The 26626-nt window shown below is 52.8% G+C and overlaps 2 protein-coding genes, 1 non-coding gene and 1 pseudogene across 8 annotated transcripts in view, besides 5 other annotated features; 2 read left to right on the forward strand and 2 right to left on the reverse strand.

Annotated features, from left to right (window-relative positions):
- Positions 1–1701: 1701 nt before the first annotated feature.
- On the reverse strand, positions 1702–25728 carry MZT2A (mitotic spindle organizing protein 2A). Of its 5 annotated transcripts, none has more exons than XM_005263742.4 (4): positions 24181–24371; positions 23850–23998; positions 4042–4156; positions 1702–2317 (listed from the first exon to the last, which is right to left on the reverse strand). In XM_005263742.4, exons 1-4 carry the CDS (start codon positions 24348–24350, stop codon positions 2290–2292), a joined length of 462 nt encoding a protein of 153 aa, XP_005263799.2. In that variant the 5' UTR covers positions 24351–24371; the 3' UTR covers positions 1702–2289. The 5 variants fall into 5 exon arrangements, with proteins under 5 accessions (XP_005263799.2, XP_047301524.1, XP_047301526.1 ...); XM_047445570.1 differs by lacking the exons at positions 1702–2317; positions 4042–4156 and adding exons at positions 15934–16192; positions 22687–22866; XM_047445568.1 differs by lacking the exons at positions 23850–23998; positions 24181–24371 and adding an exon at positions 24966–25728.
- TUBA3D (tubulin alpha 3d) lies at positions 8093–14908 on the forward strand. The gene is made up of 5 exons (NM_080386.4): positions 8093–8176; positions 10138–10360; positions 11282–11430; positions 12043–12723; positions 14526–14908. Exons 1-5 carry the CDS (start codon positions 8174–8176, stop codon positions 14820–14822), a joined length of 1353 nt encoding a protein of 450 aa, NP_525125.2. The 5' UTR covers positions 8093–8173; the 3' UTR covers positions 14823–14908.
- Positions 23134–23210, reverse strand: MIR4784 (microRNA 4784). Its single transcript, NR_039945.1, has one exon. It is a non-coding gene; the product is annotated as a microRNA 4784 (primary transcript).
- Positions 23702–24495: an enhancer, noted in NCBI's record as "H3K27ac hESC enhancer chr2:132249301-132250094 (GRCh37/hg19 assembly coordinates)". NCBI's record gives its function as "activates a minimal SCP1, AML or CMV promoter by ChIP-STARR-seq in naive H9 embryonic stem cells {active_cell/tissue: H9 hESC(naive)}" and the evidence as "EXISTENCE:reporter gene assay evidence [ECO:0000049][PMID:30033119]".
- Positions 23702–25311: a biological region, named in NCBI's record as "hESC enhancers GRCh37_chr2:132249301-132250094 and GRCh37_chr2:132250095-132250888".
- Positions 24092–24601: a silencer, noted in NCBI's record as "silent region_11965". NCBI's record gives its function as "represses an Ori minimal core promoter by ATAC-STARR-seq in GM12878 lymphoblastoid cells {active_cell/tissue: GM12878}" and the evidence as "EXISTENCE:reporter gene assay evidence [ECO:0000049][PMID:35858748]".
- Positions 24496–25289: an enhancer, noted in NCBI's record as "NANOG-H3K27ac-H3K4me1 hESC enhancer chr2:132250095-132250888 (GRCh37/hg19 assembly coordinates)". NCBI's record gives its function as "activates a minimal SCP1, AML or CMV promoter by ChIP-STARR-seq in naive H9 embryonic stem cells {active_cell/tissue: H9 hESC(naive)}" and the evidence as "EXISTENCE:reporter gene assay evidence [ECO:0000049][PMID:30033119]".
- The window catches only part of SMPD4BP (sphingomyelin phosphodiesterase 4B, pseudogene), a 28764-nt pseudogene continuing 26924 nt past the window's right edge, over positions 24787–26626 (forward strand). The window contains exon 1 of the transcript NR_026922.1: positions 24787–25114. The product of NR_026922.1 is annotated as a sphingomyelin phosphodiesterase 4B, pseudogene (transcript). The remainder of the gene's footprint in view (positions 25115–26626) is intronic.
- Positions 25122–25311: a silencer, noted in NCBI's record as "silent region_11966". NCBI's record gives its function as "represses an Ori minimal core promoter by ATAC-STARR-seq in GM12878 lymphoblastoid cells {active_cell/tissue: GM12878}" and the evidence as "EXISTENCE:reporter gene assay evidence [ECO:0000049][PMID:35858748]".

Here is a 26626-nt window from a genome sequence, read left to right on the forward strand (position 1 = left end):
AACAAATCCCAGGCAACGTATCACTGCATCCGATGTGGAATGGTAATCCTTAGTTAGGGGTTTCATTAACTTGAGTTGTAACTGGCTGCAACTACAAATATATTTAGGTTGCAAAATAAACTAAGAAGAAAACAAACAGATATCCTGTGGCTAAACAGCAAAGAGCCCTGAACTTGAGCATGTACTTTCAGACCTTCTCATTTGTGGGATTCGTTAAGTAAATTTTAATAGAATTTTTTTGAGACAGATTCTCACTCTGTCGCCCAGGCTGGAGTACAGTGGCACAATCTCGGCTCACTGCAACCTCCACCTCCCAGGCTCAAGTGATCCTCCCACTAAGCCTCCTGAGTACTTCATGTTAGATGTGCATGCCACCACACCCAGCTAACTTTTTGTATTTTTGGTAGAGATGGGGTTTCACTATGTTGCCCAGACTGGTCTTGAACTCCTCAGCTCAATCGATCAGCCCACCTCAGCTTCCCAAAGAGCTAGGATTAGAGGTGTGAGCCACAGCCCCTGGCCTTTAATCGAATTTTAAAGTAAGCATTGCTTAAAACATGTCACTCATCAACAGCAGAACATTCAGAATACCTAGGGCAGCAGTTTTCAAATTGTGGGCTGAGAACCTTGGGATTCTGAGACTTTGTCAGAGAATAAATACCCTCTACTTACTGAAAAGGGAATTTTTAAAACCTAGCACCACAGGAATCTCTTTTAATAATTAATTAGCTATCTGTGGGAACCAGGAGTTCTTCATGTACTTCATCCAGAACAGTGTATCCAAACAGATTGAGTGCACAAACAGACATGAGAACCCGAGCACGTTCTATTAAGCCAGATATTAAAGAAACATTAAAAAATGTAAAAATGCGGCTGGGTGCGGTGGCTCACGCCTGTAATCCCAGGACTTTGGGAGGCTGAGGAGGGCAGATCACCTGAGGTTGGGAGTTCGAGACCAGCCTGGCCAACATGGTGAAACCCCATCTCTACTAAAAATACAAAAATTAGCCGAGAATGGTGGTGCATGTCTGTAATCCCAGCTACTCAAGAGGCTGAGGCACGAGAATCGCCTGAACCCGGGAGGTAGAGGCTGCAGTGAGCGGAGATTGTGCCACTGCACTCCAGCCTGGGTGACAGAGCAAGACTCCATCTTAAAATAAAATAAAAAAAAATGCAAAAATGCCATTCTTCTCACTAGATTTTTAAAGAAATAGTTACTTTTCATTACAAACTTTACGTTAACATGTAATGGGTTTTTGTTGTATTGAAAGAATTCTCAGTTTTAATTTCTGCCGTGGTGCATATTGAGAGCTGTAATCTACCTAAGTAGAAGCTCTTTGGGATCCCCAGTAATTTGCAAGAGTGTAAAGGAGTGCTTAGGCCAAGACGCTTCAGAAGCACTGGTCTAAAGCAAGTGGCTTGAAGCGTCCTAGACTACGATTTGTCTTTCTACTGCCATTGGCTCTTTATGGACTGCAGGTGCTCTTATTCAATTAAGCCGGGCCATATCACAGCTCAGCATAAATACCCTCTACTTACTTAAAAGGGAATTTTAAAAACTTAGGAATAGGAACCTCTTTTAATGATTTCACAAATAGATATTGAGGGATGAACACAAAATAAATGCTTGGCAGATCAACTTACTTGGGTTCACATAAAACTTAAGATGATTTTAAAGTAATTTACATAATGCAGCCCAAGTTTTCAAAGATGTTTTATTAAGGTCATACAAAAGTCCAGTCAATACCATCGCTGAAATATCTAAATAGCTTCCTCCCCCCCTTTTTTTTTTTTGAGACAGAGTTTTGCTCTTGTTGCCCAGGCTGGAGTGCAGTGGCATGATCTTGGCTCACTGCAACCTCCGCCTCCCAGGTTCAAGCAATTCTCCTGCTTCAGCCTCCCAAGTAGCTAGGATTACAGGCACCCAATACCATGCCTGGTTAATTTTTGCATTTTTAATAGAGACAGGGTTTCACCATGTTGGCCAGGCTGGTCTCAAACTCCTGACCTCAGGCCATCCACCCGCCTCGACCTCCCAAAGTGCTGGGATTACAGGCGTGAGCCACCGCATCTGGCTAAACAGCATCCTCTTTCTGAGCTTCTTGGATCTTCAGATCTCCTGCCACATCATGTCAGCTTTCTGCATGGCTACTTCCATCTCCTCCTCCTTGTCCCACACCTTCTGCTTCTGGGAGTAGAGCTCTGCCATGAGCTCATTGAGCTCCAAGAACTCCTGCAGGGCCAGCTTTTGCTGCTGATGGGCATCTTTCAGTTCTTTGGCTTGGGATTTCAATGTCTCTGAAGCTTCAACCAATTGCTGAAAAAAAAATTACAGATGTTTTATGTTTGCTTAACAAAGGTCTGGAAGGCTGGACATTTAGTTTACACTATATTAAAGAGTTACAAGTGACAGCCAATGCTGGTTACAGATTAAAGCCACAGATGGGAGAAATCCCCTGCTTGGAAAAAGCCCTGTGCTCACCTCACCCCAGCCAAACATTCAATGGGAAGACCACCTGGGCTCAGGTGCTGAGCAACAACCCCACACCAAGAAAGACCCTGCAACTGCATGGAGTAACTTACAGCAGGACAGCTGGCTCTGTAATGCCAACCTCTGCCCGAGGTCTTCTACACAATTGCAAAGGTGAATAAAGCATTTGGGCACTCAATATAGTTACTTAAACACAAGAAGAAGCAGAAGCAGAAAAAAATACATAGACAAAGTGCTGAAGATTTAAATCAGGCCAGGCACTCATGCCTGTCATCCCAGCACTTTGGGAGGCTGAGGTGGGAGGATCACTTGAGCCCAGGAGTTCAAGACCAGCGCCTGGGCAAAATAGTGAGACCTCATCTCTTAAAAAAACTAAAAAAGAAAGAAAAGAAAATTAAGAAGAAAGAGATTTAAATCAAAGACTCCCTGGGTGGAGGGCCACAAGTAGGACTTACCACAAGTTCAGCTGCACTGACAACCCAACCTTACCACTTGCTGCACTGATGACCCTGACCTCCCTGCAGCTGATCTGGCCAACAGTCTGGCTGTTTAGTCACTGTCACACTTGCTGGACTAAGACTGGAAGTGACGAGACCTGGAGCAAGCTGGCAGGGCGGCTCCCACATGGGGAGAAAAGGCCTCCCCAGGCCTCTCTGGGTCCAGCTCAGAGTCACTGTGACTGTGTCAAGCAATGAGACGCTGCCCAGCCCACACTGCACTCCCAGACAAGTCATGCAGGGGGATGATACTACAGATTATCTTAAGAAGCAATTTGGGCTTAAAATCTGCCCCATTTTAGAGGACAGATCACAAACTACAGGTCCAAGGACTTCAGTGTATAAATGAATGTATTTTAGAAAACAGAGCCTATGCAGTGAGCTGAGATCGCATGACTGCAGCCTGGTGACAGAGAGAGACTCTGTCTCAAAAAAAAAAAAAAGAAAAAAAGAAAAGAAAAAAGAACCTAATTGTGTTATTACTATACTTAATGGCATTTGAATATAAAGTTCACATATCTTACTAAAAACCAAATTTATAAAGGAGTTATGGGGGAATCAGCCACATTTTAACATATGTCCTCTTTTGCAGTTCCCTGTCCTTACTAAGATGCCCCTTCTAAGAGCAGGGGGCATGGTGTAGAGAGAAGGACGAGGTCACTGGTGTCAGGCGCAGCGTGTCACTGCAGATAACACAGTGCCCTCTGGACATCGTTCCTCATTCAGAATGGGCGGGGCTGGGGGAGTTGCTGCTTACTCCGCGGGGTTGAACTGGAGATGGCAGATGATGACTGTGAAGTGGGTGCCTGCTGCAGGCAGCATGCTGAAAGGCACCCATGGCAGGGAGCCAAGCCCAGCTAGCTGACATGGGCTGTGTAGCAACTGGGCACAGCAGGGGCCCTAGAACCAGGCTTGGCCCTGTTGTCCTGCGTGCAGCAGGGACAGTCCATGAGCAGGAGTCCCAAGGAGGTCTTTAAACATCTGTATGAACAGAATCTTACAAAACTCTGCAAAGCCTCTTAAGCCTTTCTCACCCAGAACCGAACTGCCTACCTTGTGCATGTCCTCCTTCTCCTGCCACACCATGCGGTGCTGCTTCTCTGGCCCCCGTAGCTGCTGTGTGAAATCTTGTTGAGGCGCCGCCTTGTCCTCAAGTTGTCACTCAAGCCTGTTTGAATATGAGCAAAAGAGGAAATAATTTGTGTTACTTTCTGTGTAGCAACTATATGTAAATGTTGTTAGCTGACTTATTGAAATGATTTAATAATTCACAGGACTCTTTTTATTGCTGTATACTAAATAAAATACACAAGGCAGCAATACTTAGGGGCCAGAAACACTGTTTACTACAAGTCAATTATGGAATCATAGCTTACAGTAAAAATGGGCATGTCCAAGGCTCAATTTTTCTTTTGTCATTTACAGTAGAATAAATAGTTTGTTGCTAATTTTCTACACTGTCTACTGGGAATATGTGTTACTTTTATAATCAGAAAAATAAATATTGCAGCCATGTAGCATATAATGATGTTTCGGTCAACAACAGACAGCATATATATAACAGTGGTCCCATAAAGTTATAATACCATATTTTTCCCGTAGCTTTTCTGTGTTTAGATACATAAATCCTTGCTGTACAGGTCTGTAGCCAAGGGGCAATATGCTATACCATGTGGTCTAGGTGTGCAGTAGGCTGCACCACCTTGGTTGGTCTAAGAACACTCTGTGATGTTCTCACATCAACGAAATTACCTGATGATGCATTGTCGAGAACGTATCCCAGCCGCTGAAGGACGCGTGGCTGGACTGAAGAGCACCGTGTGATGTGGGCTACAGCTGAGTTCTGTGCATGATGTGGTTGGAGCCTTGAGGAAGGGGGACTATGGACTGAATGGTGTCCCCCCCCACCAATATTAGACGCTGAAGCTCTAATCCCCAATGTGACTGTAGTTGGGGACAGGGCCTATAAGGAGATGATGAAGGTTAAGTGAGGTCATAAGGGTGGGCCCTGATCCAACAGGATTCGTGTCCTTATAAGAGACCAGAGAGCTTGGGTGCTACCTCCCCATGGGAGGACATGGTGAGAAGGTGGCTGTGTGCAAACCAGGAAGAGAGGCCTCTGGGGCTTTTAGCCTCCAGAACTGTGAGAAAATAAAACCCTGCTGTTTAAGCCACTCAGTCAGTGGTATTTTTTAGGGTGCCTGGGGCTAATACAGAAGGATTCACCCTCCTGGGGAGAAGGGGCCAGTGGCCTCCTCTGATTTTCCCGGCTGTCTGCAGAACTCCGTCCCTGCCCCTCCTCCTTTTGCCAAAGCATCTTGCTAAGGGAAGACCTGATTGCATTGTTCAGAGGTCCCCAAAGGCCACAGAAAAGTCTCAACTCCTGGACCTCATGAGTCCCATCCCACTGGGGGAGCTCCCTCTCTCTTCTCTGCTCTCCTCTCAGGAGGGAAAGTTAAGGGCCTGCTTGGCCACCCTCCAGGGAGATGCCATGGTGGGATGCTGCATCCTGGTGATGAGCTGGGGGTAAGCCAGCATGTCTCCTCCAGGGCTTTTCCCAGAACTGAATACACACTAAGATGATCTTTAGGGATGGAAGAATCAAACTGGGAAGAATCACACACCTGTAGTCCCACCCTACAAGGAAGGCTGAGGCTGGGGGATCACTTGAGCCCAGGAATTTGAGTCCAGCCTGGTCAACATAGTGAGAACCAGTGTCAAAAAATAAATAAATAAAAAGGAAGAATCAGGTGACTGTTCCAAACTCCTCCAAAATGGGTATTGGGTCCCGACTCTGCTCTTCCCGGGACAGGGGTGTGCCTTCCCCTTTCCTGTTGTCCATAAACCCACTCCCTCTCACTAAAGAAATAAGAAAAAGTGTTCACAGCACTTTGAGTTATGCGAGGTGTGCAGAATTTATCAGGCCCAGAGAGACAGGAATATGGACTTCAGTCACACGCCTTGTACTCATGCCCTGGGGTGACTGTTTAAAGGCATTTTGTTCCTGACTAGCTCAACCCATTATCTTCCTGTTCCTGGAATTTGTGATACCAAAGACAATGTAGACAATGTAGAGACAATAAATAGCTTTTTTTTTTTTTGAGACAGAGTCTCGCTGTGTTGCCCAGGCTGGAGTGCAGTGGTGCTATCTCGGCTCACTGCAAGCTCCACCTCCCGGGTTCATGCCATCCTCCTGCCTCGGCATCCAGAGTAGCTGGGACTGCAGGCACCCGCCGCCACGCCCGGCTAATTTTTTGTATTTTTAGTAGAGACGGGGTTTTACCGTGTTAGCCAGGATGGTCTCGATCTCCTGACCTCGTGATCCGCCTGCCTTGGCCTCCCTAAGTGCTGGGATTACAGGCATGAGCCACCGCGCCCAGTCTTCTTCTTCTTTTTTTTTTTTTTTTTTTTTTGAGATGGAGTTTCACTCTATTGCCCAGGCTGGAGTGCAATGGTGTGATCTTGACTCACTGCAAACTCCGCCTCCCGGGTTCAAGTGATTATCCTACCTCAGCCTCCCAAGTAGCTGGGACTATAGGTGCTCACCACCATGCCTGGCTAATTTTTGTATTTTTAGTAGAGGAAGGGTTTCATCATGTTGGCCAGACTGGTCTTGAACTCCTGACCTCAAGTGATCCTCCCACCTTGGCCTCCCAAAGTGCTGGGATTACAGGTGTGAGCCACCACGCCTGACCCAATAAATAGCTTACGTTATTTTCATATAAATTCCTCAGGCTAGGCCAGCCAAGGTGGGAGGATCCCTTCAGGTCAGGAGTTCAAGACTAGCCTGGACAACACAGCAAGACTTCTTCTCTAATTTCAAATTCTTGGTAAACAACTTAGGAACTGCCTCTTCTTTTCCTTTATAAAACCCACTTATAACTGCTGCCAATATATTAAGACAACTTGCATCTCCAGGGTTGCACTTCTCAAACTTGGCCCAAATAAACTCTATTTTTTTTTCAAGATGGAGTTTCGCTCTGTCGCCCAGGCTTGAGTGCAGTGGCGTGATCTCAGCTCACTGCAACCTCTGCCTCCCAGGTTCAAGGGATTCTCCTGCCTCAGCCTCCTGAGTAGCTGGGATTACAGGCATGCGCCACCGTGCCTTGCTAATTTTATTTTATTTTTTTGTATTTTTTGTAAAAACGGGCAAGGTGGGTCTCACCACGTTGCCCAGGCTGGTCTTGAACTCCTGACCTGAAGCAGTCCTCCTGCCATGGCCTCCCAAAGCATTGGAATTACAGGCATGAGCTGGTGTGCCTGACCCAACGTCTCCACTTACGTTAATTTTGCCTCCTTTCTTCCTTTTTTTTTTTTTTTTTTTTTTTTTTGAAACGGAGTATGGCTCTGTTGCCCAGGCTGGAGTGTGCAGTGGCCCAATCTCGGCTCACTGCAACAACTGCCTCCCAGTTTCAAGCGATTCTCCTACCTCAGCCTCCCGTGTAGCTGGGATTACAGGTGCCTACCACCAGCCAGGGTAATTTTTGTATTTTTAGTAGAGACGGGTTTTCACCATATTGGCCAGGCTGGTCTTGGGAACTCTTGACCTCAGGTGATCCACCCGCCTCGGCCTCCCAAAGTGCTGGGATTGCGGGCGTTAGCCATCGCGCCCGGCCCGTTTTCTCCTTTTGGGTCACAAAAGTGATTGAATCCTGCCACTTCCCAGGTGCTGGGTGGGAACAGGGAAGAGGGGGATAATTGCGGTGCTGCTGTGACTTGGGTAGATGGCGGCAAGGCCTCTCAGAGGTGGCCTTGTTTGCAAAGATCTGAATTAGGCAGGGAGAGGGGCAGGCCTGGGGCAATCAGGGAGGGGCAGTGGCACACTGGGAGCAAGGCAATGTTCCGCGACCCACAGAGGCAGCGCAGTAGCTGTTCCAACCCTGGTCAGAAGACACCCCGGAAATGCCTCAGCAACCGCGCAGCCTTTGATGACCCCCGCTGCCTTCCCGCCAATCCTACATCCAATCAGAGAGCGTCCCCAGTACACATGTTGAGCAATGGCCAATCAGAACTGGGATCCGGCCCTCAGCCCGCCTCCCAGGAACTCCGAGCCAATGGCGGCCTGGCACCGGCGGGCCAATCCCGTGCGGCGCGCACAGGCAGGAGGTTGCAGTTGGGCGCTCAGCAGCTGTGGCAGCCGGTTGAGGTCTGGCAGTAGCGTTGGGCTGAAGCAGCGGAGTTCGCCATGGTAAGGCCCGGGTCACTCCCGCCCCGCAGATGCCCAGGCAGACGAAGTTGGCCTCGGGTGGACAGAGGGACGTTGTTGCGGGCCTGGGCGCTGAGAGGAGGCCAGAGAAGGACGCAGGGTCTAGTGCGGGACAGGAGGACACGGGATCGTTTCCTGGATCTTTGGGTCCCAGGGCAGGGACGGCGGCTTTTGTTTTAGATGAAGCTGCCGGCCTTTAGTGAACGGGACCATTGACGGTGTCCCGTCCCCCAGAGAGCAAATAGTGGCGTCGCCTCCTGAAGACGGGAGGGCGCTGCTCCCGCTTCACACGTCTTTGTGCTACTCGAAACAACTGAGGAGCCCCAGGAGCCTTCGGTGACGGGGGTTGGGGCTGTGGACATTGATCAGATGAGGAATTAAGGCTCAGACGCTGCTGCAACATTGCCTTGTTCACCTAAAGGCAACCGTTAGGCCAGGCGCGGCGGCTCACGCCTGGAATCCCAGCCCTTGGGGAGGTGGAGGCGGGCGGATCACCTGATGTCTGGAGTTCAAGATCAGCCCGACCAACATGGCGAAACCCAGTCTCTACAAAAAAATACAAAAATTACCCGGGCATGGTGATGCGAGTCTGTGGTTCCAGCTACTCGGGAGGCTGAGGTGGGAGGATCAGCCGAGCCTGGAACTTTGAGGCTGCAGTGAGTCGTGATGGCGCCAGTGCACTCCAGCCTGGGCCACAGAGACCCTGCCTCAAAGACACAAACAAAAAAAGCAGCCCATTAACATAACAGATTCCCAAGTCCCAAGTCTGAATAGCTGTGGTTTGTCAGTTATCCTTTTTTTCCTTTCTTTTTCTTTCTTTTTTTTTTTTGAGACAGCACTCAACAAATGCTGTGTTGCCCAGGCTGGAGCACAGTTGCAGGATCACGGCTCCCTGCAGCCTTGAACCCCTGGCTTCCAGCAGCCCTCCCACCTCAGCCTTCCGAGTAGCTGGTACTACAGGTGTGTGCCACCACACCTGGCTAATTTGTAGATTTTTCATAGGGACAGGGACTCACTATGTTACCCAGGCTGGTCTCAAACTGGTCCCAAGTGATCCTCTCACCTCAGCCTTCTAAAGTGCTGGGATTATAGGAATGAGCCACCACACCCAGCTTGGCAGGGTTTAAAGAAACCACCAAAGGACAGTGCAGTGTCCCAGCACTAATGACGTCTGGGAGCCATTACAGGCTTCAAGGGGTAGAGAGAGGGAGTGGTTACAAGAAATTGGGAGGGTAGTTTTATGAAGAGGGCAGCCTGCCAAAAGTGTGGCCTTGAGAGGGATTCAGGTCACCCACAGCAGTTGAGCAGGAAGGGGCCAAGGAGGGAGTACCCTGGCACTGCTTTCTCCAGCCCCCCAGTATCCCACTGCTGCCTGCCATTGACCAAACCAGCAAGAAGCCAGAGGGCGAGGAAGGCCTCTGATGCTGTTCTCAAGGGTCAGCCTTCGAGAGCACAGAGCAGGTGGTGAATGATGGACGGGGTAGAACTGGGGGGTAGAGAGAGGACACACACTGAGCACCTGGGCTTGGACCATGGTGACCTGGGACCTACTCTGTATTTCCTTACCCAACCCGACTACCTTATCCTTTGATCAGGACATAATCAAAAACTGCTACATATTCTTCAGAGAATTACTGTGACGGGCTATAATGTGGGGTTGATTATTGACATTACATGGCTTCCAAGTTTTAAAATAACCTAAGTTTTGTGTAGTGGCAAACAGGTTCTAGGGCTACCTCTAGAACTTACTAGCTAGTATGGTTTACAGCAATTAGTTTTCACAGCGATAAAGGGATCAGTCACTAACCCTCCTAGGAAATATCGATTGTGAAAGCGCCAGATACTGAAGCAGTATATAAATATTAAATTAGAATATTTTGCATGCCATATAGTTTCAAGTTGCCTTGAAATGAATGGGTTCACTTTTATGTTCCTGTTCACAGCGCGAGTGTATCTCTATCCACGTGGGGCAGGCGGGTGTCCAGATCGGCAATGCCTGCTGGGAACTGTACTGCCTTGAACATGGAATTCAGCCCGATGGCCAAATGCCAAGTGATAAAACCATTGGTGGCGGGGACGACTCCTTCAACACGTTCTTCAGTGAGACTGGAGCTGGCAAGCACGTGCCCAGAGCAGTGTTTGTGGACCTGGAGCCCACTGTGGTCGGTAGGTGCCTGGGCACTGGATGGCAGCTTTCCTGAGAGGGTGGGAGAGCATTGGTAAAGCCCCGTGTGGGCTCCTTTGAATCCTCCTGCTGAAAGGATGGGATAGACAGGCATATGCCCATGGCATTGTTAGGAGAGAAACTGAAAGGTTCGTGATCAAAGTGTCTGTGAGACTCGGCTCCTAATTTAGGAAAACCTGACCTACAGGGAAAAGCTGCTTTGCCAGCAGTAAGATGGGCTGTGAAGAGATTCCCTCGTGCGTGCCTCAGCCCTGCTCAGGTGGCCCTGCCTGCAGGGTGCAGTGGCATTGGTTCCCTCCCGAATGCTGTGCATTCTCTTATGCTGGTGCACTAGAGTCTTGACCTGCATCTTAGGCATAGAAGGTAAGTACAGAACAGTCATTTGCTTCCTTCAGATTCGCAGCCTGATGTAGTTTCCAAGGAGAGCTACAAAGAGGCAGCACCTTTCAGTGGCCCCCCAGGAGATGACAGCATCACCTGAAAGCCTGTGGGACCCAGGTCATCCAGGGTGCCCTGATGGGACTGCCCTGCAGAAGTCACACTGACCTGGTGACTGCCCAGGTTGTAAGAGTTTCTAACTTACAGCCTTTGATGTAGCTACACGTAGGAAAGAATTATGTACCTGCGTAGGAGTGCCAGAGCTTATTTCCTTTCACTGGGAACTGGTTGTGCTGACATTTATACAACAAGCTGAGTTTAACTTTGTAGAGTCATAAATTGCATATGCAGTTTGGTTATCACACAGAGACATTTTCTACCAGACACTGCCACTGTTGACCTATGACATGTAGGTCATGTACTTTGAACAGCATGTGCTCTGTAGAAGTGAACACTCCTGGAATGTGTCCATCTTGGTGAGTACAGGCCTTAAAAATTCACAGCACACACTGTCTCTTTTGCAGATGAAGTGCGCACAGGGACCTACAGGCAGCTCTTCCACCCGGAGCAGCTGATCACCGGGAAGGAAGATGCAGCCAATAATTACGCCAGGGGCCATTACACCATCGGCAAGGAGATTGTTGACCTAGTCCTGGACCGGATCCGCAAACTGGTAAGAAGAGAAGGTTTCATGTGGCCATTTTCTTGCATGGGAGGGGTAGTTCTTGGAATGTGAAAGGGAAGTCATTTTATCAACACTTAGACCAGCATCTTGGCCGGGCGCGGTGGCTCACACATGTAATCCCAGCACTTTGGGAGGCTAAAGCGGGTGGATTACCTGAGGTCAGGAGTTTGAGACCAGCCTGGCCTACATGGTGAAACTCTATGTCTACTAAAAATACAAAAATTAGCTGGGTGTGGGGGCACACACCTGTACTCCCAGCTACTTGAGAGGCTGAGGCAGGAGAATTGCTTGAACCCGGAAGGCGGAGGTTGCAATGAGCTGAGATTGCACTACTGCACTCTAGCCTGGGAAACAGAGCAAGATTCCGTCTCAAACAAACAAGCAAAAACTTAGACCAGCATCTTGAGTCCTACTGAGTCTGCAGTGGTGATTTGTCCGTAGATCTTTGCTTTTCTTTGCTTCAAAGTGTACTGCATGTTTATTATGGATGATTTGAATCCATATCAACTCTTTAGAGGCAAAGAGAAGCGGCCCTGGCTTGTTGGAGGTTGGTGGTGTGGCTTCCATGGGCATTGGCTCACGTTGTGTGGTTTCTCTCAGGCGGATCTGTGCACAGGACTGCAGGGCTTCCTCATCTTCCACAGCTTTGGGGGCGGCACTGGCTCTGGGTTCGCATCTCTGCTCATGGAGCGGCTCTCAGTGGATTACGGCAAGAAGTCCAAGCTAGAGTTTGCCATTTACCCAGCCCCCCAGGTCTCCACAGCCGTGGTGGAGCCCTACAACTCCATCCTGACCACCCACACGACCCTGGAACATTCTGACTGTGCCTTCATGGTCGACAATGAAGCCATCTATGACATATGTCGGCGCAACCTGGACATTGAACGTCCCACGTACACCAACCTCAATCGCCTGATTGGGCAGATCGTGTCCTCCATCACAGCCTCCCTGCGATTTGATGGGGCCCTGAATGTGGACTTGACGGAATTCCAGACCAACCTAGTGCCGTACCCCCGCATCCACTTCCCCCTGGCCACCTATGCCCCAGTCATCTCAGCTGAGAAGGCCTACCACGAGCAGCTGTCTGTGGCCGAGATCACCAATGCCTGCTTCGAGCCAGCCAATCAAATGGTCAAGTGTGACCCTCGCCACGGCAAGTACATGGCCTGCTGCATGTTGTACAGGGGGGACGTGGTCCCCAAAGACGTCAACGCGGCCATCGCCACCATCAAGACCAAGCGCACCATCCAGTTTGTGGATTGGTGCCCGACTGGATTTAAGGTATGACTGGGTGATGTGGAGGCCTTTCAGCAAGCAGCAGATGCACAAAATAACACTGGCCCTGAAGGCCCACATCCTTTGGGGAGATTATCCCTGTTCCATGGGCTAGGCATGTGGGCATAAATTAGTGAACCAGAGTTGATAATTGATTCAGTGATTTCTTTTTTTTTTTTTGAGACAGTCTTGCTCTGTCAACCAGGCTGGAGTGCAGTGGTGCGATCTCAGCTAACTGCAACCTCTGCCTCCCGGGTTCAAACAATTCTCTGGCCTCACCCTCCCAAGTAGCTGGGATTACAGGTACCCGCTACCACGCCCGGCTAATTTTTGTATTTTTAGTAGAGATGGGGTTTCGCCATGTTGGCCAGGTTGGTCTTGAACTCCTGACCTCAGGTGATCTGCCTGCCTCAGCCTCCCAAAGTGCTGGGATTACAGTCGTGAGCCACTGCACCTAGCTCAGTGATGTCTTTTGAACTCTCTGTCTGAGTCATCACACTATATATCTGTGGTGAGCTTTATTTATTTATTTATTTATTTTTTGAGACAGGGTCTTGCTTTGTCCCCCAGGCTGTAGTATAGTAGTGTGATCTTGGCTCACTGCAACCTCTGCCTCCCAGGCTCCAGCGATTCTCTCACCTCAGCCTCCCAAGCAGCTGGGACCATAGACATGCAACACCATGCCCGGGTAATTTTTTTTTTTTTTTTTTGAGACAGAGTCTTGCTCTGTCGCCCGGGTTGGAATGCAGTGGCGTGATCTTGACTCACTGCAACCTCCACCTCCCGGGCTCAAGCAGTTCTCTGCCTCAGCCTCCCAAGTAGCTGGGATTACAGGCACCTGCCACCACGCCTGGCTAATTTTTGTATTTTTAGTAGAGATGGGATTTTGCCATGTTGGCCAGGCTGGTCTCGAACTCCTGGCCTCAGGTGATCCACCCGCCTTAGCCTCCCAAGTGCTGGATTACAGGCACGAGCCACTGCACCCAGCTAATATTTGTATTTTTAGTAGAGATGGGGTTTCGCCATGTTGGCCAGGCTGGTCTCAAACCCCTGGCCTCACGTGATCTGCCCACCTGTCTCCCAAAGTGCTGGGGTCACAGGCTTGAGCCACCACACCTGGCCTGATGTTGTCATTTATAGAACAAGTTTGCTGATCCCTGCTCTAGTTGACCCTGTGCACTGCGGCCAGGACCTCAGGTCATGTTATGCCCGAGTTCTGAAACTTGGAATGCTTCCCCTTTGGTTACCACCTTGGAATGTCACCCCCTACTTAGGCAGGCACATGGACCACTTCGACCACTTCCTGCTGCTGTGGTAGCAGCATTCATATGACCCTTGACCCATGATCTGCTACCTTTGCATATCCACAGTGGCTTGTTCTGTGGGTCAGAAGTGGGTATGATGTTCCTTGTGATAGCATGGGGAAGAGTTGTGTACTCTGAATCTATCTGGGTGGAAGAAGTTTAGCTACAGAATTTAATTGTAATCTACAAAGAAGACAAGCAGCATACATTTTCAGAGGGAAGACTGTCTTCACCTGGGCACCTATCACATGTCACAGGTACTAGGACACAGCCCTTTAGGTAGCTTGGGATCCCACCAGGGTGGCTACCTCCAAGGTTCCTTTCTCTATTCCTCATCTGGAACTATCACCCTGCCTGGTGCAGAGAAGGGCTTAGTGACGTTTGTGAGGTGAACTGAGCATTCTCCGTGTCACCTACAGGGTGTCTTCTGTTTGAGGAAAAGTAGCTACCATTTCTAGGTTTGATATAAGCTTCATGGACTGCTTTCTTTCCCTTCTCTGGCAGGTGGGCATTAACTACCAGCCCCCCACAGTGGTCCCCGGGGGAGACCTGGCCAAGGTGCAGCGGGCCGTGTGCATGCTGAGCAACACCACGGCCATTGCGGAGGCCTGGGCCCGCCTGGACCATAAGTTCGATCTCATGTATGCCAAGCGGGCCTTTGTGCACTGGTACGTGGGCGAAGGCATGGAAGAGGGAGAGTTCTCTGAGGCCCGCGAGGACCTGGCAGCTCTAGAGAAGGATTATGAAGAGGTGGGCGTGGATTCCGTGGAAGCTGAGGCTGAAGAAGGCGAAGAATACTGAGGGGAGGGTGTGGTGGGTTCTCCCCTGCCACCCCCGGGATGGCTGCTTCCAAGTTGTTTGCAATTAAAGGTTCTGTATAAAACCAAGCCCTCTGTGTGTCGTGCAGCTTAGCTCTGCCTACAGGAGCCGGTGGGACCCTAGAGCCTGCATGGACAGCGGTGGGGTGCCAGCCTGCCCTGCTGCTGGTGTGGGGTTGGGTGCAGCAGGACTGTACATAAGCAGCTGCCACAGAAGTAACCTGACCAGGGGAAAATAGTGTTTCTTCAAAGCCAGGTGTTCAATGTATAGATTTCCTAAATTCTAGGAAAGCAGAGTCAGGGTTTTCAACTGAATCTGTGATTTTTCGGGCTTCTTTATTGATGGGTCATGCTGGCTAAAAGGGAGACTAGAAGTGTTGGAGGTCTGTGGATGGGGCTTGTCCATGAAGTCTCTAAAGCTGTGGGTCAAATGTGTAAGGTCAGGACATTTTAGAGGGGGAAAGAGTATTAACCGAGTTCTGCACAGCATTCGTGACCCACAGAAGGTCACAACACACCCATGCTGACCCCAGTGCTCCACAGTAACCTGGAAGGCAGCGTTCGCCCTCTGTGCGTACACACAGCAACCCTGTCCCTCAGCACTGTCAACTGTCTTGGTAGAAAACCTCCCATGAGGTGGGAGATCGAGACCATCCTAGCTAACATGGTGAAACCCCGTCTCTACTAAAAATACAACAAAACTAGCCGGGTGTGGTGGTGGGCACTGTAGGCCCAGCTACTTGGGAGGCTGAGGCAGGAGAATGGCGCGAACCCAGGAGGCGGAGCTTGTAGTGAGCCAAGATCGCACTACTGCACTCCAGCTTGGGTAACAGAGCAAGACTCCGTTTCAGAAAACAAACAAACAAACAAACAAAAAACCTCCCACATTTCACTCCAAGTGAAGCTTGTTGATGTCTATTTATAAAAGACCTGGCAATCCAGACACCTTTCCTCAGAACCCAAATCAGGTTCAGGAAGTTGACCCATGGTGAAGGGACCTGGTTAGTTCACTGTGGCACAACCAGGACCGGCACAGAAACTTCATTCTAAGTGTGCCTTAATATAAAAAAAAAAAAAAAACAGTAGAGAGCATCTGACCTGGACCCTCTGCATCTCAGAAAGGTTTATTATCAACTGAAGGAGGTAACATGTAGCCTTTGCTGGGGACAAAGATGTGACAAGTCTCTGCCCCATCCTAGGTGCTGCCCTGCGTAGGGCTCTTCCCAGGCCCGCCCCCCTTGGGCAGCCTGGTAGCGCTGGGCTGGCGTGGCATCCTCTGGCTGGATCCCTCGTGGTTGCTGCGTTCCGCCAGGGCCAATACTCCCCCGAGGGCAGCGCTGCCTTTGTCTCTCCCTAAGGAGACACAAAGCACAATGATTAGGAATGGACGCGCCCCATAAATGCAGCACCTGCTGTACTCGTGCTCCTTGGGCAACATTTGTGTCTACACATTTCCATCAAAGTCGCTTCAGCTAGAGGCCCTGCATCAGCCCCAAGTCCTGAGACTCAGAACCACTAAAGACAGGTCACGCCCCAGAAGCCCTTGGCAGTGTGCAGGGGACCCTTTAGGATGTGTCCTAGGAGCGAAGCCACGCAAGGAGCACACTGCCAAGGGAACATTTTGAAAGGACACATGCCACGGGCCCATTTAGGGAAAGGTAGGTGTGGTGGTCCACACCTAGCCTGGTCAGCAAACCTAGTCTGCCCTGATCGTGCCATCAGCGGCAGCAGCAGCAGCAGGGACGCGCTGCCTCATCCTCAAGGTGTGTTCACGCTGGACTGCACATCTGAGCTGCCCCAGATGGTGACAGGCAGGAAGTACTGCAGTCACCAAGTCCTGGAATTGGGTTTCTGATTTTGATTTTGGAAGCTCTTTCATTGTTTCCTACCTACCCGAGTGTTCTGCAGTGGTCAAGCCTCTTGCTTTCGGGTTTAGCTGCCAGATTCCATGACAGGGTTCCTGCCACAGTCTGAACGCTTGAGACTTTCCTTCTGAACACCAGAGGCTCTCTCGGATGAAGACCACAGGTTCAGAGTTTCTTTGATTTGTAATTTGCTTACTTTACTCTTTAAGATAGCCAAGAAAAATCTGCAACCACACTCGGGCCAGAGCTTTATTTTAATGGGATGCATTTCCCTGGGCTCAGGGTGTTGACAGCATCGGCAAGACTGAGAGGACCCTCCAAGGTACAAACGTGCCCGGGTAGCAGGCTTGCCCGTGGGGTCACAGCCCCCCATGCGGAGTGCCTTGGCCAGGGCTCTCCCCTGCTCTGGCCTGGTGGGGTCTGACCCGTGGGCTCTAAACAGGGCGTGTGTCCCCTGCCTGACTCAGTGTTGGGTCCCCCATTTCATCCCCCCAGCATTTCCTTTGTCCTGACTGAGGGAGTGCCTTGACCACTCTGACCTAATCAGCTACATGTTCCCCCTGCAGGCTCAAACCCTGGCTGGGGCTTGCATGTTCCCAGACACTGATACACGTTTAGGTTGTTGCCTGGAACACTGAAAGATCTGACGTGTTGCTAAGCACGTGGAAACTGGTCCCACCCCAGCCAAATTCCTTGCACCCTCATAGAAACTCCACACCCCACCCCCTCAGTGCGGTGTGCCTAGGCACAACCTCTTTCCTGGCTGTCCCTCGTGAGGGCACGCTGCAGCCCCCTCTGTATATAAGCTCCCTAACAAATGCTTTGGACTGACCACCCTGGCATTAAGTGTTTCTTCCTTTGGAATCCCAACTGGCTCTCATCTTGGAAAGGTTTGGGGCAGTCCCGTGTGGGAACTCCCCTGCCATCACTTTTAGGGTGACTCCAGACAAGGGTTCAGCCAACAGAACACCCAGCCTCAATCCTGGTCCTTCCCTGGCCTCTTATCAAGTGTAGTCAAATACCCTGCAAAGGGAAACTGGATTCCTGGAGAAAAGATGCAACCGGGTGTCTAGGGACCCATTAGGTCATTTGTTTCACCATCTGTCACCCTGAACAAGCAGAGACTCCTGTGTCTGAGATGCCGTGGACCCCCGCTCTTCCAGAGGTACCTCCAGCTCCCTTTCTATGCTAATACCACAAAATTCTCCCCATACCCTGCAGGGATAGGACGGCCCTCCTTATGAGTTTCCGGGGAGTTCTTCCTCAGAGAATGAGATCTTTGCTCATTCTTGCCTGGTGGTGGTGAGGGTTACAGCGGTGTCATGCTGGGAACTCTGTCAGCTTGTCACACTTGGCTGAACAAAGATGGAGTCAGGGTTGCCCTGAGCCAAGGAGGAGCGCAGTCAGGAACACGTGGTGGGTGATGATTGGCCACCTCAGCCCAGCAGTGACTAGTGAAAAAGGCACAAAGCAGACAATAGCCACCACGCATCTCTTGTGGTACAAACTGCCATAATTCTAGTCCCCACTGACTGGTCAAGGGGCAAGGATTCTGTCTTCCATGAGCAGACGGGACCCACCACCCTGCAGCAGCTCCCACACTGGGCCAGCATCCTCCTCTGAGGCCACAGTCCCTCTGCAGGCCAGGCCAGACAGTCAGATCTTCTGTAGCCGCAGCCTAATCTGGGTGCTTAGGTGCCCATGCGCTCTCAGCTCCCCACAGCACGCAGCATGGCAGGCCGTGCACCTAGGCCTGACTCAGAGTCGGCTTCCCTTCAGTTTGCCGCCATCTGAGCTTCCTCTCCTCCCCTCAGTAGTGACCCAGTCCCTTCTGGAAACAAGGATGACAGCGAAGCAGAAAAGAGCAAATAATGCTTTTTTTTTTTTTAAGAGTGGTGGGGGAGGGGGGTTTAGAGACTGAGTCTTGCTCTGTCACCTGGTCTAGAGCACAGTGATGCAATCACAGTTCATTGCTGCCCGGAACCCATGGCCTCGAGGGATCTTCCTGCCTCAGCCTCGATGTAGCTGGGACTACAAGCATGGGGCCACACCTGGCTAATAATGCTTATCTTTAAATCTGACAGGGTTGACAAACCCTGGAAATGTGAAACCAACATAACCGTAAGCCATAACTGATATTAAGAAAATCCTGGAAATCTTCAGGAATTGCGTGCTCTCGGGGCTAGTGGGGAGCCCTGTTCAGGCCTCCTCACTTTATGAAGGATGAGAAGGCCCAGAATAGAATGGCCTGCAGTGCCTTGCAGTGGGGAAACCAGCTTTGCTTAGCCCTGCTCCCTCGGGAGGGGCTACTGAGTCAGACGGGCTAGACAGTGGGATTGAACCAAGTGTGGCTGCAGGTTGGGGTGTGAGGGCAGGGTGACTGATGCCCCTACACCTGGTCCCTGGAGGGCCCTCCTAAACGCCAAAAACAGTCAATGACCACTGAATGTTAAAAACAGCCTGGCTCAGCAGGGGTCAGTGGCTCGTGCCTGTAATTCCAGTGCTTTGGGAGGCCAAGGTGGGAGGATCCTTTGAGGCCAGGAGCTAGAGACCAGCTGGGACAACATAGTGAGACCTCCATCTCCACAAAAAATTTAAAAATTAGCCAGGTGTGGTAGTGTGCACCTGTAGTCCCAGCTACTCAAGAGGAGGTGGGAGGATTGCCTGAGCCCACGAGGTTGAGGCTGCAGTGAGCTATGAGTGTGCCACTGCACTCCAGCCTGGGTGACAGAGCAAGACTGTCTCAAAAATAAATAAATAAATAAAAAGTAAAAGAAAATGCACAATTAGCTCAAATACTTTAATTAATCTAAAATATCCAACGTATTATTTCAATATGTAGTCAGTACATAAATTATTCATAAGATGTTGCATTCACCTTTGTTCTTTTTCTTGTTTCTTTGTAGAAATGGGTGGGGTCTTGCTATGTTGCCCAGGCTGGTCTCAAACTCCGAGCTTCAAGTGATGCTCCTGCCTCAGCCTCCAAAAATGTTGGGATTACAGGTGTGAACCAATGCCCAGCCTCATTCACTTTGGGGTTTTTTGTTTATTTTTGAGACAGGGTCTCACTCTCTCACCCAGGCTGGAGTGCAGTGGTGCAGTCACAGCTCACTGCAACCTCAACCTCCCAGGCTCAAGCAATCCTCCAACCTCAGCCTCCCAAGTAGTTGGAACTACAGATGTGTGCCACCATGCCCTGCTAATTTTTGTATGTTTTGTAGAGATTGGGTCTCCCTGTGTTGCCCTGGCTAGTCCTGAACTGCTGAGCTCAAGAGATCCAGCAGCCTCGGCCTCCCAAGGTGTGGTGGGTTTTTTGCATTCCCTTTTGTACCGGTCCTTTGGCATCTGCTGCGCATACCACACGCAGTGCAATGACCACGCCAGCCATGTGTGGCTCGAAGTTCCTGTATCAGGCAGCACAGCTCAGGTGAGACTCACGGCTTCCACACTCCAAACGTCATCTTACACGCATGCTCTGGACAACTTTTAAAACGTATAGTTTCCCTAAACTTAAATATAACGCTTGACTGAATTTATTTTTCCCTCAATGACTCCAGACTCTCACCAAGACAAGCATCGACCCTCTGTGCTTCTGGGGTTTTCTATTTCCCCTTCCCTGTGGGTATGAGTGAATCTGGTGGTGGTTGTTCCCACAGGCCGTCTGCATGGCTGGGGGACAGGCATCCAGAGGACCCAGGGTGCCTGCTGCAGCTCACAGAGGCAAGCTCGAGAGGGCCTGGCCCATAGCCTGGAGAACTCAACACCCGAGTCCTGTGGGAAACCTATGGCCTCCATGCCCCTCCCCCCGGATTACTCCGACAACCCCCCTGCCATATGGGGTGACAGAATCCTCCACCCCAGATTCTGCCATTACCAGGGCAGCTGGAGCTCTGTGTGGTCAGAAGCTGTAATATGTGGGCCTCAGAGAGCTCTCAGCATTCCATCTGTGGCCTCTGCCTCTCACTCAGCAGCACACGTCTGCCCCATTCCCCTCCACCTCCTCCTCAGGTTCCACTCTATCCCCATGGGGCCTCGGTGCCCTCATGTCGTGGCTTTCTGCCACCCAGCCTACAGGACCTGGGCTATGCTTCCAGGACACAGCCCTCGAGAAACAAATGACCCTGAGGGGCCCAGCACTCCAGGCCACTCCTGTCCTCGGGTAAATTCTCTTGGAGCCCCCATTCGCTCACATGGCACCCCCTAATCCTCCTGGCCCCTCTATGCCTGCATTTCCAGTGCCACAACCCCCACATACATCTTGACTGTGCCCCCCCACCTGCCTCCTCCTGCCCTGGGCCTACCAGCACCTGGACAGCGCTCTGCCTCTCCCATGCCCTCCCACTGCCCCAGCTCACACGTGTGGGGCTCTGCTGACCCTTCCTGCTCCACCCTGTGTAACCCTTGCTGCTCTCTGGGCTCTGAAGCCTCCTCCCAACTCCATTGCTAGTGGTTTTTCTTTTCCTTTCTTTTCTTTTTTTTTTTTTGAGACAGGGTCTTGCTCTGTTGCCCAGGCTGGAGTCCAGTCACAAGCTCTTGGCTCACTGCAACATCCCCCTCAGGCTCAGGCAATCCTCCCACCTCAGCCTCCCAAGTAGCTGGGAATACAGATGGGCGCCACCACCACGCCCACCTGGCTAGTTTTTTTTTTTTTTGAGATGGAGTCTCGCTCTGTCACCCAGGCTGGAGTGCAGTGGCGCAATCTTGGCTCACTGTAAGCTCCACCTCCCAGGTTCACGCCATTCTCCTGCCTCAGCCTCCCAAGTAGCTGGGACTAAAGGCACCTGCCACCATGCCTGGCTAATTTTTTTTTTGTATTTTTAGTAGAGATGGGGTTTCACCGTGTTAGCCAGGATGGTCTCGATCTCCTGAGCTCGAGATCCGCCCGCCTCAGCCTCCCAAAGTGCTGGGATTACAGGCGTGAGCCACCGCGCCGGGCCCTGCCTGGCTAGTTTTTGTATTTTTTGTAGAGATGGGGTCTTGCTATGTTGCCCAGGCTGATCTTGAACTCCTGAGCTCAAGGAATCCACCTGCCTTGACTTCCCGAAGTGCTGGGATTACAGGTGTGAGCCAGCACACTGGTCTCACTGGTGGTTTTCCTCACTGCCTCTCACTGGACTGAGTGTGATCATCTCACTTCCCTGCCACGCCCTCTGCCCTGAGAGCTAGGCCTGGCACCCAGAGCCCTGAGTGAGTGCTAAGTGAGCAGCAACATCTCCTGGAGTGACAAGAACTCTGTTCCCAGTTTCTCCCTCCTGCTGGACACTTGCCCCTCAATTGCTCATCTCAGCCTGCAGTCCATACACCCCTACTCCAGGCCTGTCCTTCAGGCCCTCTCCACCCTCTCTTGGGCCTGAGCTCTGGGTGGCAGTGAGGTGGCCGCTGTCAGGAGGCTCATGCAGGAGGCGCGACCAAAGACCCCTGGGCTCTCACAGGCCCCTGATCACACCTGGTGACACCTGGAAAGTGTCCCAACTCAGGAGTGAGGCGGGCAAGGGGGCTGAGTGCTGGAGTGTGGCCATGGGACCAGCACATGGCATCTGTGTGGCACTGCCTGGCAGACTCTGGGAAGGTGGGAGTCTCTGTTTCAGCCTCCAGACTTCCTGTCCAGGTAGGGGACAACTTCTAAGAGGCCGAGGCGTTTGTCACGCCTGGGGCTGTGCTCTCCAGCAGAGCACACTGCACCCGGCTGGCTGTCTTCCCCTGGAGAGGGGCTCTTTACACTCACCACTAGTTCGCCTCTGGGGTGTGGGGATGTTGGTCCTGTCCCCGGATGCCAGCCCGACTGTGGGGTCTAGAGACTGCCACACCATGTCTCTAATAAACCGAGTCAGAAATAGTGCCCTGTGGCTAAGCGGCAGGGCAGCGGTGGCCTGCATGATCCTGCCCTTGCAGCTCAAAGCTGCTTGGGCCTCTTGGGGCCATGCAGTTTCCATGAAAACAAGGAAGAGCACCAACCCCCAGAGATAAGCCAATAAACGCAACCTGCAAAAGGAGAGAACAGGCAGCAAGAGAGGCGGAGGGAACCCGGGGGGCCTGGAGAGAGAGGTGAGTGTGTGGCAGCTGGGCTGTGGAGCATAACCAGAGAGGCCGCAGGCTGCGGGCTGGAGGAAAACGAGGGCCTTGCAGGGGGGCTACTGTTCCTGGCAGAGAGAAAGGAGGCCTCTGGAGGTCAGAGAGAGACACAAAGAGAGCAGACAGAGCGAGGGTCAGTGAAGAGGCCAGCACGCAGGTGCCCGGGCCCTCTTGGGTCAGCGGGCGTGGGTGCCCAGGCCCTGGCACTTCCCCCATGAAGGCAGCCTGCTTTCCACGCCTTCTCATGATGCCTGTGAGGGTCTCCTCCTGCTTCCAGGCAGGGAGCCAGCTCTGGGCCTCCTTCCATTGGCCTGGGAGGTTGTGCTGCATTTCAGAGAGAGCCATCGGGAGCAGAAGCAACATGCGGAGAGGATGAGCAGGGACGGAGGCTCCACCATGACACTCTCAGTCCCAGCATCTCCTCAGCCCAGTCACCACACTGGAGAGGGAGGAGGCCCTTCAGACCCCGCAGGCCTCTGCACCCTGGGAGTTCCGCGTCTAACTCTCTTCCTGCAATCATCAGAGGCAGGAACTGGGCCCAGGTGGGGTAAAGGCAGGAAGACGTCTGCCTGCCCTGCTCCCTGGGCACTTCCCTGGATGCTGTATACCACAGGACAGAGATCGAGACTGTCTTTTGAAAAACATTTAGAGACAGGATCTCACCCTGTCACCCAGACTGGTCTCAAACTCATGGCCTCAAAGGATCCTCCCGCCGTGGGGTCCCAAAGATTATAGGCGTGAGCCACGGCGCCCAGCCCCAAACCGTCTTGATTCCCGACTTTGTAGGATGAAGGCCTGAGTGAAGAGGTGGGGAGGAGCTAAGCGGAGGAGCCCTACCCAGCCTGGACCACCCTGGGGCACGCACTCTGCGTCCACCTGACCTGGACGTGCCTCCTAAGGCTGGCAGCGAAGCCCAGGAGCAGAGCCCACGGATGGGCCCTGCAGGTGCTGGGCCTAGACCGACCGACAGACAGGCCTGGCCACTCAGGGCCACGCCGCCGCTGTGCCGCGCCTGCCCCCTCCCCGCCCGCCACCCCCGCCACTGGGGCAGGGACAGCGGGCCCAGCTCTGACCTCGGGTCTCGGGCACGCTCGACGTGGGCAGAGACACGGCCGCAGGGTCCTGGGGCTCGCTCGCTAGCCTCTGCCCGGCACACATGGACTTGAGCATCTGGAAGACGGCGAGGGGGGCCACGTTCAGCTTCAGCAGGTCCACCAGGATCCTGGCGGGGACAGACGCGGGGCCGGTGAGCCCTCTCCGCCCGGCGCGGCCACCTCCCTGAAGACCGGACAAGGACGGGGGCGGGGGCAGCGGGGGCTCCTCCCGACCAGCGGGCCGGGCGTACCCGGAGAGCAGAGGTCGGGGGTGTCTGGCGAGCATGCGGCCCCCACCCGCCCCGCTCACTTGAACACGTCGGGGTCGATACCGCCGCCCGCCGCCTGAGCCAGCTCGTACAGCTCCATCTCCTCGGTGCTCAGCACCTTCTTGCGCCGCAGCGCCAGCTTCTGCCGGGCCGCCTCCAGCCCCGGGGGCGCCGCCGACCCCGGCCCAGGCCCTACGCCCTGCGCCGCCATCCGCGAGGCCCGCCGAAAGGTGCGCCCCGCCCCGCCGCGCCCCCTAGCGGATGCGCCCACCGCCCTCTCCCTGCAGCGCCAGCGTCTGGCCTCCCGGGCTGCCCTGGCGGGAGCGGCGGGAGCGCGGGGACGGGGCCGCCTCCTCGGCGTCATTGGAGCCCAACAGTTAGTGGGCGCTCACGGTGTGCTGAGCGGCGCGCTAGGCGTCGGGAGTGGCATGGCGGACTGCAGGGGCCAGCTGCTTGGCGGTCAGGGCGTCCCTGATAGACTTGCATTGGTCGTGCTCGCTTAGGTGGCAGCACCCAGCCCAGTGCCAGGCATACATTGGGCGCTCAGTCAATACCTGTTTCAAGAAAGCGTGCAATTTTCTGGTCCGCACCGGTGCACCACTAGGGGTCGCTCTTCGGGGGGGGTGGGGGGCACTAATCAACAACCCTGCTTACGCGCACGCGCATTCCTTGCTAGGGAGAAAGTGCGTGAGCCCTACCTTGGGGCGCCAGAGGCCGCCACAACGCAGGCGCATTCAGCTAAGGACCACTCCCTCCCCCCGCACTCCTGCCTCGCCATTTCCCCTCCCTGGCCGGCCGGCCGGCCTTCTTCGCTTTGCGCACGTACCTTTTGAGGTAACGGCCCAAAGAGGTAGAAGCGCTTTTCCCGCCCGGCCGCGGGGCGTGGCTCTGCGCGCAGCTTGATGACGACGTTTTGGCGCGGTGGCGGAATGGCGGCTTCCACCTCTGAAGCGGGCGACGCTATGGGTCCCACAGGTGAGTGGCGCGGGACGCGCGCGTGAGACGGTCCGACGCCCTGGGGGCTTCCGCGAGCCCCTGCGGAGGCCATCTCCGTTCCTCCGCGAGCCCCAGGACTCGGGCGGCCCGGCGGCTCTGCCCAGGCCGGGCAGGCTGGGGAGTGGAGGGCCCCGGCTGAGTCTTCCTGCCACTCCTCTGGGCCATGCCTTTGTGCCACCTTCCCGCGCCGCTCGTACACTCTGTTCTGGTCCGGTAGGTGTTCGTTGAAGGTTACCCGTCGTTGAAGGAATTGAGGGAAGGAGAGCTTTGTGTTGAAATTGAGCCTTGGGCTCAACAGGCGGTGTGGGAGGAAGAGCCGGGTGTGGGTCCCAGCTCGACCCTTCCCCTGTGCGCTCCACATCTCCGAGCCTTGGTTTCGGAGGCTCCCGAAGCCCAATTCGCAGGAGAGTTGGAAACAAGTGGGCGCGTGCTGTTAAGGGAGGTCTTGGCATGACAGAATTTGCTTGGAATGATTAGCGTTGCCCAAGGGCTGTCGCTGTCAGAAAAACAAAACAAAACGAAACAAAAAAAACAAACGGGTCCGAAGCAGCTCCTGGAGAAAATAGGTGTTGGAGAGTCGCGACGAAGTGGACTCTAGGTGCATGGCACGCAGAGACCTGTGACGGGGGAGGGTGGCCATGGCAGGGTCAGAGAACAGGGGTGTGGGAGACACCTCTTGGGAGTTCTCGGGTTTGAATTTCCTCTCTTGGAAAGTTCCTAGAAATTCCTCTGGGCCTCATTCTTTCAGTCGCTGCCCATGAAAGCTTTTACTGAGCAGAGATGCTCTCCCCTTCATCATCTCTAGAGCTCCGCACTTATCCAGCAGTCCACAGTTTAATGCTGCTTTGATCATTTTGCAGTAGTGCAGTGTTTTCTTGACCAAGTGCATTAGGACTGAGGCGTTTTTCTTTAACACTGCAATTGATAGCTAGGTTAAGAATTGAGGCCGGGCGCGGTGGCTCACGCCTGTAATCCCAGCACTTTGGGAGGCCCAGGCGGGTGGATCACGAGGTCACGAGTTCAAGACCAGCTTGGCCAAGATGGTGAAACCTCGTCTCTAGTAGAAAATACAAAAATTAGCCGGGCGTGGTAGCGGGCGCGTGTAATCCCAGCCACTTGGGAGGCTGAGGCAGAGAATTGCTTGCACCCGGGAGGCGGAGGTTGCAGTGAGCTGAGATGGCGCCACTGCACTCCAGCCTGTGCGACAGAGCGCAGAGCGAGACTCCGTCTCAAAAAAAAAAAAGGAAAAGAGAAAGCTGGCCGGGCGCGGTGGCTCACGCCTGTAATCCCAGCACTTTGGGAGGCTGAGGCGGGCTTATCACGAAGTCAGGATATCTAGACCATCCTGGCTAACATGTGAAACCCACTCTACTAAGTAAATACAAAAGACAATTAGCCGGGCGTGGTGGCCGGCGCCTGTAGTCCCAGCTACTCGGGAGGCTGAGGCAGGAGAATGGCGTGAACCCAAGCGGAGCTTGCAGTGAGCCAAGA

The sequence above is a fragment of the Homo sapiens genome, chromosome 2, assembly GCF_000001405.40.
Source record: "Homo sapiens chromosome 2, GRCh38.p14 Primary Assembly".
Classification (NCBI taxonomy): Eukaryota; Metazoa; Chordata; class Mammalia; order Primates; family Hominidae; genus Homo; species Homo sapiens.